This window comes from Homo sapiens, chromosome 8 (genome assembly GCF_000001405.40).
Source record: "Homo sapiens chromosome 8, GRCh38.p14 Primary Assembly".
NCBI lineage: Eukaryota > Metazoa > Chordata > Mammalia > Primates > Hominidae > Homo > Homo sapiens.
Window position 1 is genome coordinate 136727853 of NC_000008.11, and position 20348 is coordinate 136748200.

At 38.8% G+C, this 20348-nt stretch overlaps 1 long non-coding RNA gene across 1 annotated transcript in view, besides 1 other annotated feature; it reads left to right on the forward strand.

The window, feature by feature from the left end:
- Positions 1-20348, forward strand: part of LINC02055 (long intergenic non-protein coding RNA 2055) — a 366804-nt gene that overhangs the window by 197055 nt on the left and 149401 nt on the right. The window lies entirely within an intron of this gene.
- Positions 10612-11140: an enhancer, noted in NCBI's record as "NANOG hESC enhancer chr8:137750707-137751235 (GRCh37/hg19 assembly coordinates)". NCBI's record gives its function as "activates a minimal SCP1, AML or CMV promoter by ChIP-STARR-seq in naive H9 embryonic stem cells {active_cell/tissue: H9 hESC(naive)}" and the evidence as "EXISTENCE:reporter gene assay evidence [ECO:0000049][PMID:30033119]".

The window sequence follows — 20348 nt, forward strand, 5'->3', positions numbered from 1 at the left end:
TCAGGTTAAGTTTTAGTGTCCTGGCCTAGAGGAGGAAGTGCGTTCAGATGGTTGGGGTGGATCTTTGAATTTTATTTTTGGTTTACAGTATGAAATTGCTACTGTAACTGCTCCATATACCCCCTGACATGTAGTGTTTACAGTCTTTTTAATTTTAGCCACTCATTGGTTGTGAACTGGTATTTCTCTGTAATTTTAATTTGCATTCTCTGTTGGCTAATATTATACGTCAGCTTCTAAGATAGCACCCAATTATCGGCACCTTTTCTTTTTCACTATTGAGGCCCTTGTTATAATGTCCTCTCTTTGAATGTGGACATACTTTATAACTTTTTTTTCTAATCAATAAAATATAGCCAAAAATATAAGATGTCATTTCCAAGATTAGTTTAGAAAATACTGTGATTTCCATCTTGCTAGCAGACACTCTGTCTTGCTGACTTTGATGAAGCACGTGGCCATGTTGGAGGGGTACACATAGCACAGAACTGAGAGCGACCTCCAGCCAGCAGCCGGCCAGGAACCCAGGTTCTCATTTCAACAGCCCACAAAAAACTGAATGCTGCCAAAACCCATTTTTATAGCTGAAAGGCAGATCTTTCCCCAGTTGAGTCTTTAGGTGTTATCCCAGTATTTGCCAATAATTGGTAGTCTTGTGAGGTACCCTGAAGCAGAGGAACAAGTTAAGCTGTGCCAAAATTACTGATCCATAGAAACTATGAAATAACGCAAGTTTGTGGCTTTTTACCTGCTGAGGTTTGGAGTAATTTGTTTTGCAGCAAGAGATAACTAATATTAACAAATTCTTCTTTAATTTTGTGAACAAAGCTTTTACAAAATACATATTAAATTCAACCTCTGGATACATCAGGTTTGTTTCTTACTGGCTTATTTTTTCCTATACATGGTTACATTTTCATTTTTCTTTGGATGTTTAGTAATATTTGACTATATGTAGTACAATGTGGTTTATACAATGGATTCTGTTATCTTCCTCTGCAGGCTGTTGATAATTTGTTCAAGAAAGCAGTTTAGTGACTAAATTATCACCTTGAACTTGTAAAGGCTTAGCTTTACCCTTTGTCTGGGCAGAGCTGTGAAAGCCCAAGATGCTTCTTGGGCTCCAAAACTGGGTAGAGCTTCACCTTCATATTCTGTCTTTCTGGCAGATCTAAAGGCTTAGTTTTCGGCTTTGTTTGAAGATGTCTAGACAAAATCTTGTTTTAGGGTCTTGCTCTTCTTTTAAGGCTTGACATTTCTGGTGGCCTGCTTGCATGTGCAGAATGGTGTTTGTTGCCTCCAATCTCATGTTAAATCACAAATTTTGTAAACTTATCTCATTCAATTTGCCTGGATGTTGGAGGTGGAGCCTGGTGGAATGTGTTCAGGTCACAAAGGCAGATCCCACATGAATGGCTTGGTGCTCCCACCTGTGGTAATGGATGAGTTATTGCTCTGTTTCTTCACATGAGAGCTGGTTGGTTAAAAGTTCAGAGCACCTACCCCCTCTCTTTTGCTCCCTCTCTTGCCACGTGACTCGCTGTCTCCTCTTTCCCTTCCACAGTGATTGAAAGCTCCGTGAAGCCTTCACCAGAAGCAGATGCTGGCACCATGCTTCTTGTATAGACTGCAGAACCATGAGCCAAATAAACCTCATTCTTCATAAACTACCCCATCTTAGGTATTCCTTTGTAGCAACACAAACAGGCTGACACATGTGACAATAGACACTAATGTATCTCTACATTTTGTCTCAGTCAGAACTGGGGCATATTTCAGTGTTACCCAAACCCTAGTGTCTGTTCTATGCTCAGCCCTGCAGCTGCTCTCTAGGTAACCTTGTACATTCTCATCCAGTTCATCTCCTGCCAGCCCTCCAGCCACTCATGAGTGACCAAATATAACTTTCGGTGCCCCTGAAGAACTCTTTGTCTCTAGTGTTCTGCATTACAGATTTCAACTACTTTACTTCCCCAGACTCTTATCTTTGCCTCCTTAGCTCGAGGGAGCAGTCATATACTTCTTAGAGCAAAGCTGATTTTGATGTGGTTGTGAAATGGGAAAAGTTTCCTAATCCCCCTTGCAGGGCGTGCAATGGGTATGTGGCTCACTTCTTCAGTGTCCTGCTGTTCAAACCTCTATGGGAAGCATGCAGACTGGCAGGTTGTGGGGCTCTGACCCCATGGCAGTGTCTAGGGGTGAATGTTTACACCTGAAGCCCCAGTGGGCATGTGTTACAGTGTGCTCTTTCAGTTTAGCCATCCATAGACAGCTTGTGTTTATCAGCTCAATTAGACCCTCTGCCTTATCACAAGAACAGAGGGCTTTCTGTATCCCAGGTTCTTGCCTTGGTGTACCGGAAGAATTGGATCACGTGTGGGCTTGGAGGATGGGTGCAAGATTTTTTACTGAGTGGTGGTGGATCTCAGTGAGGTGGATGGCAGGCCAGAAGCGGGATGGTGTGGGAAGGTGGTTTTCCCCTGGAGTCAGGCCGCCCAGCAGCTGGGCTCTCCTCTGACTGTCCTGGCCAAACTTCACATCGTTCAGTTGTTGACGGCTGGCATTTGCCAGGGCCTGTCGTTGTGCTCTTCCACCAGTGTGCTCCTCTTGACGTCCAGCCGCTTGTGTCTGTGCCCTCTAGGGTCTTGGGGCTTTTATAGGACAGGACAAAGGCATGGAAGGCCAGAGTGGTCTTGGAAAATGCAATATTTGGGCACAAAGGCAGGAGTCCCTGTCTTTACCTCGGTCCCTGGGCACAGGCTGGAGGGTAGAGCCCATGCCAGGGATCCTGCCCATCTCCTCCCAGCACTTCCCTGCCCTTCTTGCGTATCAATTGTAAACAAAAAATAAAATTCTAAGGCCCCCCAACCATCTGAATGGATTTCCTCCTCAGCCAGGGCTCTTAAAATTTAACCTGAAAGACTGGTTCAGGACATGAAGGAAAGTGGGAGATGGACATGCCTCATTATACCTCTCCAGCATTTGCATCAACACAGACTTTAAGTCTGATAAGACACATTTTACAACCTATTCTCTCTGAAGCCTGTGAGCTAAAAGCTTCATCTGTATAGTAAAACTGTGGTCTCTGCAACCTGTTATCGCAACCCCAGACATTCCTTTCTGTTGATCGCAGGTCTTTAGACAAACTCAACCAATTGTTAACCAGAAAATGTTTAAATTTACCTATAGCCTGGAAGCTCTCCCCACCCCCCTAGCTGCCCAGGCTTTCAGTTGTCTCACCTTTTTGGACCAAACCATGTATTTCTTAAATGTATTTCATTGATGTCTCATGTCTCCCTAAAATGTCTAAAACAAAGCTGCACCCTGATCTCCTTGGGCCCATATTCTCATAACTTCCTGAGGGCTGTGTCAAGGGCCATGGTCACTCATATTTGGTTCAGAATAAACCTCTTCAAATATTTTACAGGGTTAGACTGTTTTCATTGACGATAATTTGGTTTCACAGAGTTTGACTGTTCTCGTCGGCATGGTTGAGACATTATCCCTGGCAGAAGGCTGGACTGGCATGGACATCATTTGATGAGTTCGTCTCCTCTTAACAATCAAAGCCTGTTTTCCAGTGCGAATAAACTGTTGCCTTATATATTGTTTTCCCATTTTTATAGTTGTTTACTGCAAAAAAGAGTCTGGTACAAGTTACTTTGCTAAAACCTTGATAAAGTTTTATTCTACGATTCTTCAATCAATGTTTCTGTTTTGTTTATTCTGTTATCTCTGTTGTGTCATACCATAATTCTCTCATTAATAGCTCATATTCTTTTTCATAGCTATTCAATTCTTTAGCAGTTTCTACTTTTATGTTTGGGAGAAAATTGAAAGCTTGATTTCTTATTTTGACAAGTTTTCTAAAGGTTTCAGCATGCAATATTTTTTTTCATAGCCTTACAGTTTGTAATAGTTCATCTGATTGTAAAGCTCTTACAATCTTTCCTGATTTTAAGTCATTTTAACAACGACTTTCTCTCTTTTTTATTTTTAAGAAACAATGTCCTCCTTTTCATTTGTTGAGAACTCTACTCAGCTTTTAAAAAACTTCCTGTGTATGTACCTTAATTCTTTTGACAATAAAACATTACTCTGAATATTCAAAGGGTCTTTCTTCTTTAGAATGGTGGTTCCAAAGAGCTATATTTTCCTACATTTGGTGATCTTTCTTTTGTAAATTTGGAACTTGGTTTATAGCTTTTTAAAAAGGTTTTACCAACTACTAATATGGAACCACATGCTGTTTTCTTTATGAGTGGATTTTTCAGACATTCTGTTAATGCAAACCAGACGTTCATGACTGCATCAGTCTATGAAAGCTGAGAGATACCTGGGGCCATAGGCATTCTCTCCAGTACAAGTTGCCTCTTCTTTTCCTTTGCCATGTTTAATGAAGTTCACTTATTCATGTCAAAATACTTTTTTTTCCTTCACCCATTCACTTTCTCCTTGTTGTCCTTCAGCCTCATCCCACCTCCTCCTCTACTCACACACAAACACATTCCAAGCCTGATCCCTGGGACTTGCCCAAGGCAGGTGGGAGTTCATTTGTTCTCTAAATGTTTTACCCCGCACCCTACCTCCTAACCCCCTGCCCCTCCACCTGGCTCCCCCACATTTCCCTCTAAGAGGGAGTTGTAAGATGGTTTATCCTCAGGCACTTCCACTTATCTCCTGGGCATATGCCCTTTCTCAGAAAAAGTAGTAAGTTGGAATATTACAACATCCTCTGATGTAATGTAGCCACTCACTTAGTTTACAAATCAGAAATCAGTGGTAGTTTTTGTTGTTTTGTCAACATCCTGAAGAATTAAATACGGATACTCCTATATACAAACATTTTACTCCCATCTTTATATTCTTTTTTTTTCTGTTTGCCATTCTAATTGAAATCGAGTGGTAGAAAGCAACATAGATAGGCTCATTGTCATCTTACCCAGGAAATAAAGGAAAACTTACTGAATGCAAACTTGGTACTGTACACTAGAATGTAAAAGCTCACTTCCAGCTTAGTAAAGGACCAAGAAAGCTACTACAAAGCGAATTCAAGCACTGGAGCTACTCTACTGAACCACGTAGAATCCTGTCCTCCCTCACCATGTCCACAAGGACACAGTATGGGGTAGAAAGGCAACACATGCCTGTGCAGAAGGAAAGAGCAGGTTACTGTATTAGAAAAGCCATTTGTGTGAGGCCAAATCGTGATTCTGACAGCCCAATTATGACAAGTGACATATTTACAAGGTGCCAATCTGTCAAATAAATGGAGACTAAATTGGCTCTGGAATAATAGCTTATAATTCTTTCTGCTGCTTTCTTTGACTGATGTGCTTTATTTTTACCTTTTTTTTTTTTCTTCACATACTTCAGCTGATTTGTGAGTCCAGGAAATGGTAGGTGCATCTTTAATCCAGTTCAAAGGGGCAAAGGACTAGCATTTACAGTCCACATATGATCAGCTTCGGTGCTAATTTAATTACAGAAATGACCTCTGTTAATCATTATAACATTTAATCATGTAGGTATTATTCCTACTTCCTACTTTAAAAATGTTTGAAGAAGCACCAGTGTCCATCAAATAGCTCATAATTACACAGTTCAAAGGGGAAGAATATTTGTATTTGATGACTTATTTCTTTGACTCATCATTCTATGTCATGACAGGTAGTTAATTGTTACTACTTAACTCCACTGCAGTTACTAGTCACACACCTCTCTTCCATAGTAAAACTCTATGAGGGAAAAGACTGTTTTATCTATTCATTGCTTACTCAGAAACTTAGTACAGTGGAAATCAGAAAACATTTATTTAATTCCAAAGCCCATAGAATAACATTAGTAAATTGACTTGGAGGTTGAGACTTAAGTTATAGAAAGGTCTCTCTCTACTTTTCGTTCAGTGATTCTTTCATCTGTACAATGGGTCTATTATCTGACCTACAGGACTATTGTAAGGAACATAAATAGGATGGAATAGAAAACAATGCAATGCAATAAGGAGAAAATATCAGAATATAACATAGATATAGATGATATCTATAGTTCTTTCTAAAACATCAGCACCTTCCAAACCCCACGTACATGCATATGCACGCACGCACATTGAAATGTAGTATTATCTGGGAATCGGATCAAAATTTTAGTACCGGTAGGGACTGCACTTGTTTGTTTGTTTGTCTGTTTTTGTTTTTTTGTTGTTGTTGTTTTGAGATAGTCTCGCTCTGTCTCCCAGGCTGGAGTGCAATGGCGCGATCTCAGCTCACTGCAACCTCTGCCTCCCGGGTTCAAGCGATTCTCCTGCCTCAGCCTCCCAAGTAGCTGGGATTACAGGCATGTGCCACCAAGCCTGGCTAATTTTTGTATTTTTAGTAGAGACAACGTTTCACCATGTTGGCCAGACTAGTCTCCAACTCCCAAACTCAGGTGATCCACCTGCCTTGGCCTACCAAGGTGCTGGAATTACAACTGTGAACCACCACACCTGTCCAAGACAGCATTTTTGCTATGTAGCATCTCATTGTATGAACTTAACATAATATGTTTAAATATTTCCTTGCTATGCAATTTTATGTATTATGCATTGTGCTACAATAAAGATACCTGTACATCAATCTTTGTTTAAAATGTGTTTCTACTGAATTATCTGGGTTGAATTCTGAGAAATAAAATTATAAATGTAGAGATAGGAGTTGAATTATATTGCCAATTTGGTGTTTAGTCGGTTTGTAATAATCTATTCTTTCACTAACAAAGAATGCACATGTTAAAATAAGATATTCTCCTAAAAATCAAAAGTTACCTTTAATAAAATAGTTAATTAGATAATTTAGCAAGATTGACTCTTTAAATATGGGTCAGTTATGTGTATTATATTGAGTGAACTTTTAAATTTTTAAAATGTTCTTATGACCTAATTTTCATAGTGATTTCCTGATACATTGATGATTGAGATACATAAAACATTCTTAGTGCCTAATATTTACCTCTAAAAACAATATTGCTTTTTAAATTGGCAAAATGTTTGGTGGCTGGCTGCCTGTGATACTTTGTAAGTTAACTATTTCTATGTTTATTTATTTATACTTGGATATTTATCAAGTTTTAATAACTTGCTGCAAACGAAAATGTTTAATAAATTGATCAATGTTTAAACTATGCGTTAGACATTAGCAATGTATGTGGCAATATATTACACACAACAACTCTCTATAATAAATAGGATAAGTATGGACTATGAGTGATGCCTTCACAGAGTAAAGTCCGGTAGAAAACATAGGCAAAGTGCAGCCAACTAAAGGATTTCGGAGGTGCCATTGAAGTGCCCTGAGTCTCACCTTTTAAGGAGTCCTGGCCTGAAGCTAGTGATGCAGGGGAGCAAAACATCAATGGGATTTATTAAAGAGAAAAGTAGCTGACTTCGCAGTTGGGAGGCTTAGTGCATGGGGGGCAAACTGCTGTTCACATAATCCTCAGGGCAAGAGAAGGACTAAGTGCCTGTTGTAAAGGCCAGTAGATTTGCGTCTGTCTAGGGATCCAGCATCCTTCCCAGAGTATGTCCCCTATGGGATTTTTAATGATGCACCATGGACTAAGCATTAGAGATCCAACTGGGTCTTTTGTGTCTTGTCCAATCAAACTACTGAGTGGAGAAAAGAAGCTCAAGGCTAATGTCAATTTCTTAAAGGCTCTAGAAAGATATGCACAAAATTCTTGCATTAGTGATACATGTAATAAAGAAAATAATATTAAGTCAGAGAGAGCAGTTTCCAGCAATTGCCCATCAGAGAAAAGGCTTTCTATATCTATAGGGAAAATGTAAAACAATCATTCAGTGAAAACTCGCACTATCTCTTTCCCCTTCCCCTTGCCTATGCTCAGACCTCACAGGGACCAGATAGAACAGTAAAGTTCCAGTAAATAAAGGAACAAAGAAGAAAAGACACTCTTCACCTCTCCCATCAACTGTGCGTGGTGAGGCTGTCAGGAACTCAGATGGGAATGGGAAGAACACTGACGTTTAAAACAAGTTTAGATTTTTTTTCTTACAAAAAGTTGGACATTTTAATTTGTAGAATGAGAGTGTTTTATGACAAAGTGAATTTAAGATAATGAATTACCTAGGAGTGAGGAAAAAGTCATCAAATCTGCCCATTTATTTTTTTAATAAAACCAAGAAGAAAAGACTTTCCTCTCTGCATGAATTTTAAGGAGAGAGTGGAACAAAAATAAAGTGTGTTTTTAGTTTTATTCCAATAATGCATGAAAGACATTGTTTATGCATGAAAATATAACCATGGTTAAGACAATTATGGGGAAATAGATGCATTAAGAGAATATTGAAGGGGCATCTATACGAAAGTAAGGATACAAGCAGCACTTAAACATGAAGGATTTGTACTAGGAGTAGCCATAAAAGCATGCAAGAAGATTATTGCAGGTAGAGCGGCAACCAGGTGTGAAGGCCTGTAATTGACAAAAGTAAGACAGAAAGTGTTTTCCTATATCTTTTTATATGGGTAGCGCGCTGTATTTAATGGTTTTTTTTTATATTGGCTTTTTTTGTGTTGTTTCAACTGAATTATAGAGGAAGAGAAATGGGAGTTGCTAGAATCCCACAGCCAGCTCTGATAGGGCGAGGGCTCAATATTACGTCTCCCACATTTTTCTTCTGCATAAATGTAGCCCTTTTCTGAGAGAATTATGATAGGTTCTTTCTAGGTTAACATTTTTGGTTTTTAAAAAGGGATTTAACCTTCTCCTACTAATATACTTAGTAAAAATATACCCAGGATTGATTAGAAATGGACGTGAGTGTCGTGAAGGAAGAAGTTGTTATACTCTTAGGTTCTTGGAAACAAGAGGCAAGGCACGCCATGCAGGGCCACACGTGGGGAAGCAGCAGGTGAGTCAGAAGGCAGAGGGGCGGGGGAGTATGGACCACAGTTTTTCTTTTTTGAAATGGAGTCTCGCTCTGTCACCCAGGCTGGAGTGCAGTGGTGCAATCTCGCCTCACTGAAACCTCTGTCTCCTGGGTTTAAGCCATTCTCCTGCCTCAGCCTCCTGAGTAGGTGGGATTACAGGCACATGCCACCACACCCGGCTAATTTTTGTATTTTTAGTAGAGATGGGATTTCATCATGTTGGTCAGGCTGGTCTTGAACTCCTGACCTCGTGATCTGCCCACCTTGACTTCCCAAAGTGCTGAGATTACAGGTGTGAGCCACCGCGCCAGGCCTGGACCACATTTTTACTGTTGTTTCTGTTGGAAGAAACACAGGAGTCAGAGTGAGCAGGCTTAGGATTGGCTAGCTGACAAGCACAGTAGGCCACAGAATAGGGACTATCCCCAGTTGTCCGGTGTCTGGCCCTGGGCTGATGAGGGCAGGGTGTGATGTGTGAGTGGTCAATAAAGGAGGCAGTTGAGGGGTGTGGGCTCCAGTTTGGTTTGTTTGTACATGAAAGGTGAACTCACAGGCCAGTTGTTTGCTCTTTCTCTGAATTAGCTAGCCCTGTGGGGGTGGGGGGAATCTCACCCGAGTCAGCAAGCCCCCAGATGCCAGAGCATCATGAATACAGAAAACGAGAAAACATAGTTAATACAGTAATGAATAATAATAGATTCAAAGTGAGAAAATAAGTGTCCTTCACTTGAATCTGCTTGAATTCCTCTTCCACAGATATTCCTCATTTAACATCATATCATGCCCAAATGAAGAACAATGTTTAAGAGGACATTGATTGGATTTGTATTAGAAAGTTTATTGTTCTTGACCCCATTTTAGGGTTGTCAGATAAAATGCAGCCTCAAAGTTAAATTTCGGATAATAAAATTCTTGGTATAAATATGTCTATAATATGCATAGAACATATACTAAAAATATGGAAAAATTGCTTACCTGATATTTACATTTAACTCCAAGCCTTTAATTTATTTTTTTGCAAAGTCTAGCTACCTAATTTTATTTTGAAATATTAAATGTAAGGTCTACTTTTCTGTTGTCAAAAATAAAATCAGATCCAGTTAGAAAATGTAAAAGTTTATTATCTTGTCATCAAGGAAGGTACACTGTGATCCAGGAGACATTAAACTGAAACAGTAATTATTATTATTCTGTTTTGCAAAGTCTAGCTTCCTAATTTTATTTCGAAATATTAAATGTAAGGTCTACTTTGTTGATGTCAAAAATAAAATCAGATCCACTTAGAAAATGTAAAATTGTATCATCTTTTCTTTAAGGAGGGTACATTGTGATCCAGGAGACGTTAAACTGAAAGTGGTGAGAGGCTCAGAAGCACAGTTACAGGATGGTTTATAAAGTAAAAATGAAGAAATCATTTAACCTTTACAATGATTAGTTATTACAATGACGGTTTCCTGATAGCAGGAGATTTGTTAAAGATGACTGCTTTATGCCATTTTTGGAAGGCAACTCAAGTTTTCTTTATGATTATTAGAGACTTTACAAGAAATAACCAAAGTTAAGTTTTGCTTATGTTCAGAAATTAAGCTGGCTTGTTCACGTTGTTGCTAACACAACGTTCTTGGCTTTCAATGCAATAGAAATTAACATGAAGTCTGGCACACTTTTCCTAGACAAGATTTTGAACACTTATGCCTGGAAAGGTTGGAGCTAAGGGAAACAGTGCAGGAGGAAGGGTTTCCTAGTTGGCTCCCCAAGGTGGGTCCTAGTGGTATCTAGAGGAGGGTACCATAAGTAAGTAATGAGCTCAGTAAGCATCCTTACATGTGGTGGGTAGAGCGCTGGTGCACAGGCCCAGTGAGAAATCATGCTAACACATGCATTGCATGGCATGATTAGAAAACAGTGGGGGAGATGTTAGTATTACAATGAGTTAAATGTTAGGGCCATCAACCTCCCGGTCTTGTGTGCATGATGGTAGGATCCCCTGCCTTGGGTAAGATTTGTAGCCAGTGTTGCGTGTCTTAGCGTTCTCAGATATTTTGCAAGGTCTCAGGGGGTTTCGGGCCAGTGCGGGTGGGCTGAGTCCTGTCTCCAGTCCATCTCAATGTGGCTTTCTCTGCTGTGAGAAGTCCCATGACTGGTCTCCATCTTATTATATTTAAAGCTGGTTACCTCACATTTCTGAAGAAACTCATCTCATCCTGAGCTATTGAACGGACATTGTTTGAATAAACCTTGGCATTATGCCTATTTCAGCTTTCATTGAAGGTGCAATCTTAAATGAGTTATGATTAGCACATCATCTTTTTCCCTCAAATATAATAAAAGGCATATATTTTCCTTAATAACTGTGTAACATTCACATTTTCTGTTTAATATCTGTATATCTGCAACATGCAATTCATCACACATTTCTAATTAACTTCTAATTTTGGATTAATTTCCTTTTTCTTTCTTTGGGCTTTCCTAATGAGACAATAAGTTACATTTGCAAAGGGCCCATATTAGCAATACTTGCTTGATGATAACATCTTGTGGGTAGTTATCATATAATTGTCTTTTTAAAATTATTTTCCCAGTTGTTAGGTTGGTTGCTGTTCATTGTACCCGCCAAATGTGTCATAGTCCCACCAAAGGAAGCAGATTTCCCTGTGGAACTTTTACGGAAGTTTTGGTTAAAAAGAAAATGAAAGAAGTTAACGTGTGTAGAAGCCAATGGAACTAATGGCTAAGCATTCTAGAAGTGACATATAATTGGAAGTGATAGGTCAGGGTTCAATTCTCTGTTGTACACTTACTAACTCTGAACTACCAGGTACGTAGTCATTACATTTTCCTAGCCTCAACTCTCTCTTATGTTTTAAAAGAAAAAATTAAAACCACACTTAGAATGATGTAAGATCAGAATAGACACTAAAATTGAAAAAAAAAGTTTTGTAAATGGTAAAAAGCTGCACTCATAAGTGATCTTTATGGTTTTTTTCCTGCAGTGTGATTAATGCCACTAAAATAAAAGCAGTGACAATGTCCACATTCTATTTCAAGTCTGTGTTGATTATGTCCCTATTATGTGCAAGTCTCTGCAGGGGAAAGTGTGTGAGGTAGACAATTTAAACAAATCAACCGAATTTCTTTCCCAAACTGACACTGTAGTAGAAAAAATACGCATTGCTTTTCTCAATAAGCATTTATCAAGGACTTACCTGGGATCAAGGGCAGTGTAGATTTGAAGGATAGAGTCATAATGGAATGTTTAATGGGATGTTTTCTGGGTCCCCTACCATTGCTTACAAAGACAAACTGAGGCAAGAAAAGACCTTAAGCAACATCACCTTCTGTAGCTATGGCTCTCCAGCTGAGCAACACATTAGAACCAAATAGGAAGTTTTTTGCTTTTGTTGTTGATTTGTTTTGTTTAATTTTTGATACCCAGTCTGCACAACAAAAATTTACATCCCAACATTTGGAGTGCTTTGTAATATTCTCCAGGTGATTCCAGCATGCAGGCAAAATTACTTCAGAATTGTTGTTCTAAAAAGCATGTGATTCGCTACAATTCACATCCTGCCTCCAGATCTTCGGAAGTGGTGTGTAATTTGGCTTCGGTTGGCCCCATTGACACTTCACCACACCCCCACAGTCCTCATCCTCAAGGCTGCTGTGGGGAAGAGCAGTTCTTTGCCCAGGTTGGGCTTCATGGCTTTTCCTAGAGCCCTAAAAGAGAGCTATTTTCAGAGACCAGTGTGTCCTCCTCTTCACCTCCACACCCGAGGAAGCAAAACCAGAAGAGGGAGGGGAGGAGAAGAAGAGGGGCTGGATATCCTGCCTGAACAGGAGGGAGGAGTGCGGGGGATGTGAGAGTGTACCCAGCATGACTAGCAACTGAAAATCAGCCCAGAGGCATGGACCAGAATGCAATGTGAAGGGGTAGGGATGAGAAATTCCACAGAACATGATTGAAGGTAGTGACTAAAAATGAAAGAAAATAATTCCATACTGAAATCTTGCCAAATTCTAACTCTTCAAAACCTTAGAGAGAGGAAAAAAAAGAAAGAAAAAAGATACAGTGTCTTCCCTAGGGAAATTCAGAGTCTGGATGGAGATCAGAGTCATATGAATAAATAAACAGTGCAAAGTTTAAAAGGAGCTGTGCTAGAAATCTCTAGGCTCTAAACAAATGTAAAAATGGATGCAGCACACTTTACAGGGGTTGGGGGCCAGAAAATACTTTGATGAGAAAGTGTCCCTTCTAACATGAGTGAGCTCTGAGCATAATAAAGAGAAACAGTCCTTTGAGAAAGAGACAAAGGGGATCATTGAGAAAAGGCTGGGATGTTTAATAAAATAGATGTAGGTCAATATGGCTGAAGGACAATTAGGACTGGTACCTAAAAAGGTCATTATCTAAATGGCATGAGAATAACAATGATTCAAGAATCCTCTAGGTTCTGGGATAGAACAGTAAAAGAAAATATATTAAAATGTTTGACCTCATGATCCATCATTATTTAATTTAAACTTTATAAGAAATCATTGAGATAGGGTATGAATAACATTTTTTATAGATGAGAAAACTGAGGCGTGGGAGAGTTTCATTAACTTGCCTGACATCAAACAGTTATTGTAGAATTGGGATTTGATCCTGTATATCTTTCTCTGACTTTCAAAACTATAGTTTATATTCTTCCATCTGTGGAAAATAATTTAAATTGAAGAAACTGTTCTTAAAGTAACAATCCTTAAATTATGCCTTACGGTGTGTGTGTCTGATTTCAGCTTTGTAGTGAAGTAGAGCGATGTCTGAACTTTATCTTCACCACTTGGTAGTAGTGGTGGATTGCTTGTGTTGTTTCAATGGCTGACTTTTTTATACACCTGTTATAAGCTGATAGTTTTCTTCATGACATGAGGCTTTGCCAGGTCACTTGGTTTGTCCAGTGGGAAGTTAACAAGTGGGATGTAAACAGGCTTGAAACATGAGTGAATTTCTGCTTTCATGCTTATACCATTGGGTTTGCTCTCTCTTGCTTCTCCACAATTGCCAGGCTTCAGGGGGGATTTGCAAGACAAGTTGTTGCAGATTAAAATGGCCTGAAGCTCTTTGCTGCTTTTCCCATCAAAAAGCGGAATGTGTTTCATCACCTCAAGAATATGGCTCGGCTTGTGACTTGCCGTTAACAACACAGAAGGAGTTGTGTGACTTCCAAGCTGCACCTCCATATACCTGTCAGCATTCATTCTCACTTTCTTGCAATGCAGTGACTACTATGTGAAGAAGGAAAAACTAGCCTCTCTGAGGTTGAGAGAGCAATTTGGGAGAAAAGAAGAATCACTGCAGCCAGCACCAACTGCCAGGCATGGGGGTGAGGCAATATTAGGCTATCTGGACTTCACTGAGCCACTGGGAAACCTCATATAAGATGGATGAAGCATAGCCCAAATTGCTGATCCACAAAATTGGATCACAAAAGGTGGATGTTGTAAGCCTCTAAGCTTGGGGATGATTTGTTACAGGGAGGAAAAGATAGCTGATGTACATGCGGAGGAAAGCCCAATTGTACTATCCAAAGCCACCCTAGAACAGTCAGTACCCAGCTAACCAGTCAGTTGACTATGAATATATAAGCAAGCCCAGTTGAGGTCAGTTGATCTTGGACATAATCAGTACAACAGGATTGAGAGAAACAACAGATAGATTTTTTTGGGGGGTGCTTTGTTACACAGTTGGTTCATAGACATAAAATCAGTACCATAGGAGACATAATCTTAGAACAAAACCCCAAATATGTGATGCTAGCTTTGGGATCAGGTAGCATGCAGAGGCTAGAAAACTAGCAATGACACTTAGCAATTTGTTAGTACAGGCTAGAGAAAGGGTTAGTAAATTATTAGCAGAGGTTAAAAAATGCTTAAACATTCTAGAAGAATAGAAAACTAGCCTCCAATAGCAATCCATGTTATGTAATTTAAAGCGTTTGTTAAAAATGTATGTAGTGATAGGTGGGAAATTAGAACAGTTTAGCAAATTCACTTTCAGATATTTAAAAACATTTTAAACATTTTCTAGCAGAATGTTAAAAGGTCAGAAAGTTGCTCAAAATGTTATAAGAGGTTACAAGAAAGAGATAAGTTAAAAGAAAACTGACACACTTAGAAATGGAATTTAGAGTGAGTGTATTTAGAATAGAAATTAAAACTGATTAACATCTCCATCCTCTCAAGCTGTTAAAAACAAAAGGGCACACACTCAGGATAAAAGTTAAACTAAGTTTCCGCAATAATTTGTTATTAAGATATCTAGGCCAGGCACGGTGGCTCATCCTAGCACTTTGGGAGGCCAAGGCGGGGCAGATCACCCAAGGTCAGGAGTTCAAGACCAGCCTGGCTAACATGGTGAAACCCCATGCCTACTAAAAATACAAAAAAAAATTCGCTGGGCATGGTGGTGCACGCCTGTAATCCCAGCTACTCGGTAGGCTGAGGCAGGAGAATCGCTTGAACGCAGGAGGCAGAGGTTGCATTGAGCCAAGATCATGCCATTCCACTCCAGTCTAGGCAAGAAGAGCAAAACTCTGCTTCAGAAAAAAAAGATATCTAAATGTGTTATGATAAAATCTACAGTCAACTCTATTATCTAGATAAAATAAATAAATAAATAAATAAATAAATAAATAAATAAATAAAAAGCAAACCCCCCAAAAAGCAAAAACAAAAACAAAAACATCTGAGGAATCTCATGGGCATTTTCCCACAACAGCCAAACTCCCAGAATAGAAACAATTAAGTCTATATAGAGAAATACACATTAGATGTGGTTTTTCTCAAATCAGATATTTTCCATTCAAGTTCATAGGAGGTTCACACAATTACAATTAAGAGAATTGTACAGGTGAAGGTGCCATATGGGTGAACCAAAAAGGACTGGAACTAGTTAATTTTTTAAGAGAAATTCTTCATCTCCAACTATCTACAAGGCAAAAGCAGGTTGAAAAATTTTATCGATGACATATTTTCCAATGCTTCCTTCAGAAGTGAATATGGAAGACAATGGAAAACGAAAGATCTTCCAGAGGGCAGATGTATGTGTCTTAAGCAACACACTGAAAAGCCACATAGAAAGCATAACCAATGTCCGGTCAAATAATTTTTCTATCTGTGAACTAGGGAACTTTATACTGGCCCAAGTGAAGTTTGGATTTTCTATTGAGCAACGTCTGGTGGTCCTCCATTCCTTCCTTTTTTTGAAAGTAAATGATAATTGTAATTATCTTGTGTCCATCTCACCAGTTTATCATGAGTGTATATGTAGAACGATGTAACAATTTTTTAGTTCCTGGGTTTCTGGAACAAGAAGAGTCACATCAGGTCTGATGTACATCACATGATTCTGGAAATAGAGACTAAATTCCAATGAGAAGTGTGGTTATAAGATTTGTAAGATCCTTTTTTAAGACCTCTGAATGTATTAAGGTGATTTCTAGTCAACATCTCACCCATAGTTTACTACTAGGAATCTTAAGGCCATTGACCAAATTAGACTCCGAGAGTTTTAAGAAAGGTAAATGTATTTTTTGCACGATAGAGGATTGTGAATAATTGGGACCAGAACATAGGTATTGGCCTATTAGTTCAGTTGATTTTCATAATTTAGGTAATATGAATGCTCTTTGCCCCATAACTTTGTATCTCGTCTCACTTTGATTTATCTTGTCTATGTGATTTCCTTTGACCAATCAGATGCTAGCAAATATGAGATGGCAAAAACTGGAAAGCTTGTATGCATCTCTGCTCATTCTCTTAAACAATTTAGTGTGCTTGCTATTGCTTCTGTGTAATCAATATGAAAATATGTATAGGCTAGTCAGAGAATCTGCTTGGGCTAGCCTGCTAGAGGAATATGAGACACACGGAGAGGACCTTAGCATTCCCAGGCCCGGACTCATGAACAAATTTAGCAGAGATCAGCAGAACATGCCCACATCAGTAAACTGCTCTGCGTACTCCTAGAAACAAGAGAACAATAAATCCATAAAATATTAAGCCACTATGTTGTAGGGTGGTTGGTTGCATAGCAAGAGTTAACACTTTCAGTGGTATATTAGCTATGAGAGTCTATGTGAATTTAGTTTTGTATTATCTATGCCAGCATGGGTAATTTCAGCACAAATCAAATTTTTTATCTTTTAATTGGTGTTAATAACATAATACCGCATTCAGGGTTATTTTTAAAAATTACGTAACTACCAAAAATAAAGAACATTTGACACATAAAAATATTTTTATTTTTTTTAGAAGGATTCTCACTCTGTCGCCCAGGCTGGGGTGCAGTGGCACAATCCCGGCTCACTGCAACCGCCACCTCCCAGGTTCAAGTGATTCTCCTGCCTCAGCCTCCTGAGTAGCTGGGATTACAGGCACCTGCCATCACGCCCGGCTAATTTTTGTATTTTTAGTAGAAATGGGGTTTCACTATGTTAGCCAGTCTGGTCTCAAACTCCTGACCTCAAGCGATCCACCCACCTCAGCCTCCCAAAGTGCTGGGATTACAGGCATGAGCCAACTCGCCCGGCCCTATGTTTAAGTCTTTAATCCATTTTGTGTTGATTTTTGTTTATAGTGTGAGCTAAGAGTCTCAATTATTCTTCTGCATGTGGAAATTCAGTTTTTACCTTATTTATTTAGCAAACTGTCATTTTTCTCATTGTGTCTTCTTGGCACCTTTGTCAAAAGTCAATTGACTATACGTTTGTGGGTTTATTTCTGGGGTCTCTATTCTGTATCATTGGTTAATGTGTCACTTTTTTCCCCAATACCATAGTTTGAAATCAGACAGTCTGATACCTCCAGCTTTGTTCTTTTTGCTCATGATTGCCTTAGTTATTCAGAGGTTTTTTTGTGTCTGTGATTCCATATGCATTTTGAAATTGTTTTTCTATTTCTATGAAAAATGACATTAGAATATTGATAGAGATTGAATTGAATCTGTAGATTGTTTTGGGTAGTAAGGACATTTAAACAGTATTAATTCTTTTAATGCCTGAACATGGAATATCTTTTCATTAATTTTCATCTTCTTTAATTTCTTTCATTAACATTTTATAGCTTACAGTGTACAGGTTTTTACCCCCTTAGTTCAATTTATTGCTAAGTATTTTGTTTACTTTTTTGTACTTATTATAAATGGGATTTTTATCTCTATTTCTTTTTAAGATAGTTTTTTTGCTAGTGTATAAATATGCTACTGATTTGTGTGTGCTGATTTTGTATCTTACAACTTTATTCATGCTTAGTTTTAACAGTTCTTTTGAAGGAATCTTAACAGGTTGTTGTATATAAAATAATAGTGTCAGCAAGCAGTGACAATTTCACTCTTCTTTTCCTTTTTGAAAGTCTTCTATTTATTTGTCTTGCCTAATTGCTCTGGTAGTGACATCTACAACTATCTTAAATCGAAGAGGCAAGAGTGGGTATCCTTGTCTTTTTCCTAATCTTAGAGGAAAGGCTTTCAATTTTTCACTGTTGTGTATAATGTTAGCTGTAGGGATTTCATAAATGACCTTTACTGTGTTGAGGTACATTCCTGCTATACCTAATTTGGTGAGAGGTAATATCATGGAAGGATGTTGAATTTTTCAAATGTTTTTTCTACATCTAATGGGATGATCACATGACTTCTGGCTTTCATTCTGTTAATGTGATGTATCAGATTTATTGATTTCTGTATATTGAAACATCTTTGCATTTTAGGGCTAAATCCTACTTGATCATGGTTGATTATATTTTTAATGTGGTCTGAAGTTCAGTTTGTTAGTATATTTTTGAGGATTTGTACATCCATGTTCATCAAGGATATTGGTCTGTAATTTTCTTTCTTTTGTAATGTTCTTTCTGGTTTTGATATCAGGGTAACAATGGACTCATAAGAAGAGCTTGAAAGTATTCCCACTTTGATTTATGGAAAAACCTGAAAAAGACTGGCGTTAGTTCCTCTTTAAATATTTGGTATAATTAGACCACAAGTCATCAGGTTGTGGGATTTTCCTTGAAGAGGGACTTATTATCACGATTCAATCCCCTCACTTACTATTGGTTTGTTCATATGTTCTATTTGCCCATAATTTAATCTTGGTAGGTTGTATTTGTATAGAAATCTATCAGTTTCTTATAGTTTGTCAAATTTGTTGGTGTATAAATATTTATAGTAGGTTATTATGATTGTTTGCATTTCTATGGTATCAGTTATAATGTCTCCTCTTTCATTTTCGATTGTTTTTCTTTTCGTCTTGTCTTTTTTTTTTTTTCAGGTAGTGATATAGTTTGCCTCTGTGTCTCCGCACAATTCTCTCCTTGAATTGTAATCCCCATAATCCCCAGATGTCAAGGGCAGGACCAGGTAGAGGTAACTGCGAAGTGGCTACATTGTCTGGGGTAAATACCCGGGGCTCATCGTCTGGTGCCAAAAATATTTAAGACATGGACACACACGAGGAGTTTAGGAGTGGAGATTTAATAGAGAGAAAGGGAAAGGAAAACAGCTCTCTCTCTAGTGAGAGAGCGGGGACTTCTGAGAAGAAAAGACTGGCTGGTGGCAGAGTATGTAGGATTTATTGGCAGGCTTGAGGAGGCGGTGTCTGATTTACCTAGGGATCACAGATTGGTTCGATCAGGTGTGATGTTTACATAGGGTGAAGGAAGGATGGTAGCTCCACCCTAATTTTATTATGCAAATGAACTTTCCCCTTGGCCAGTGCCATCTTGTCTGCTCCTTACTGTAGAAGTGACTGGCAGAGAAGGGAACGTGGGGCCACCATTTTGAACGTGATTGGCACAACTGCCAGCATCTATGTCTGCAGCTCAATTTTACAGGCTGCTAGAAAGGAAAATGATTTGGGGCTTTTCATTAAAAGGAAAACCTTACCTAGGGCTTTTGTACCCTCACTATCTGCCTAAGTAATTTTGTCTTAACTCCCGTATCACTTGGATCATGGGGGCAGTTTCCCCATGCTGTTCTAGTGACAGCGAATGAGTCTCACGAGATCTGATGGTTTTATAGGTGTCTGGCATTTTCCCTGCTTGCACTCATTCTCTCTCCTGCTGACCTGTGAAGAGATGCCTTCTGCCATAATTGTAAATTTCCTGAGGCCTTGCCAGCCATGCGGAACTGTGAGGCAATTAAACTTGTTTTCTTTATAAATTACCCAGTCTCAGGTATTTCTTCATAGCAGCATGAGAACGGACTAATACAGGTAGCTAAAGTTTGCCTATTTGGTTTATCTTTTCAAAACAACCCACTTATTGCTTTGTTGATCCTTTGTATTATTTTTCTTTTTTTTTATTATACTTTAAGTTTTAGGGTAAATGTGCACATTCTGCAGGTTAGTTACATATGTATACATGTGCCATGCTGGTGCGCTGCAC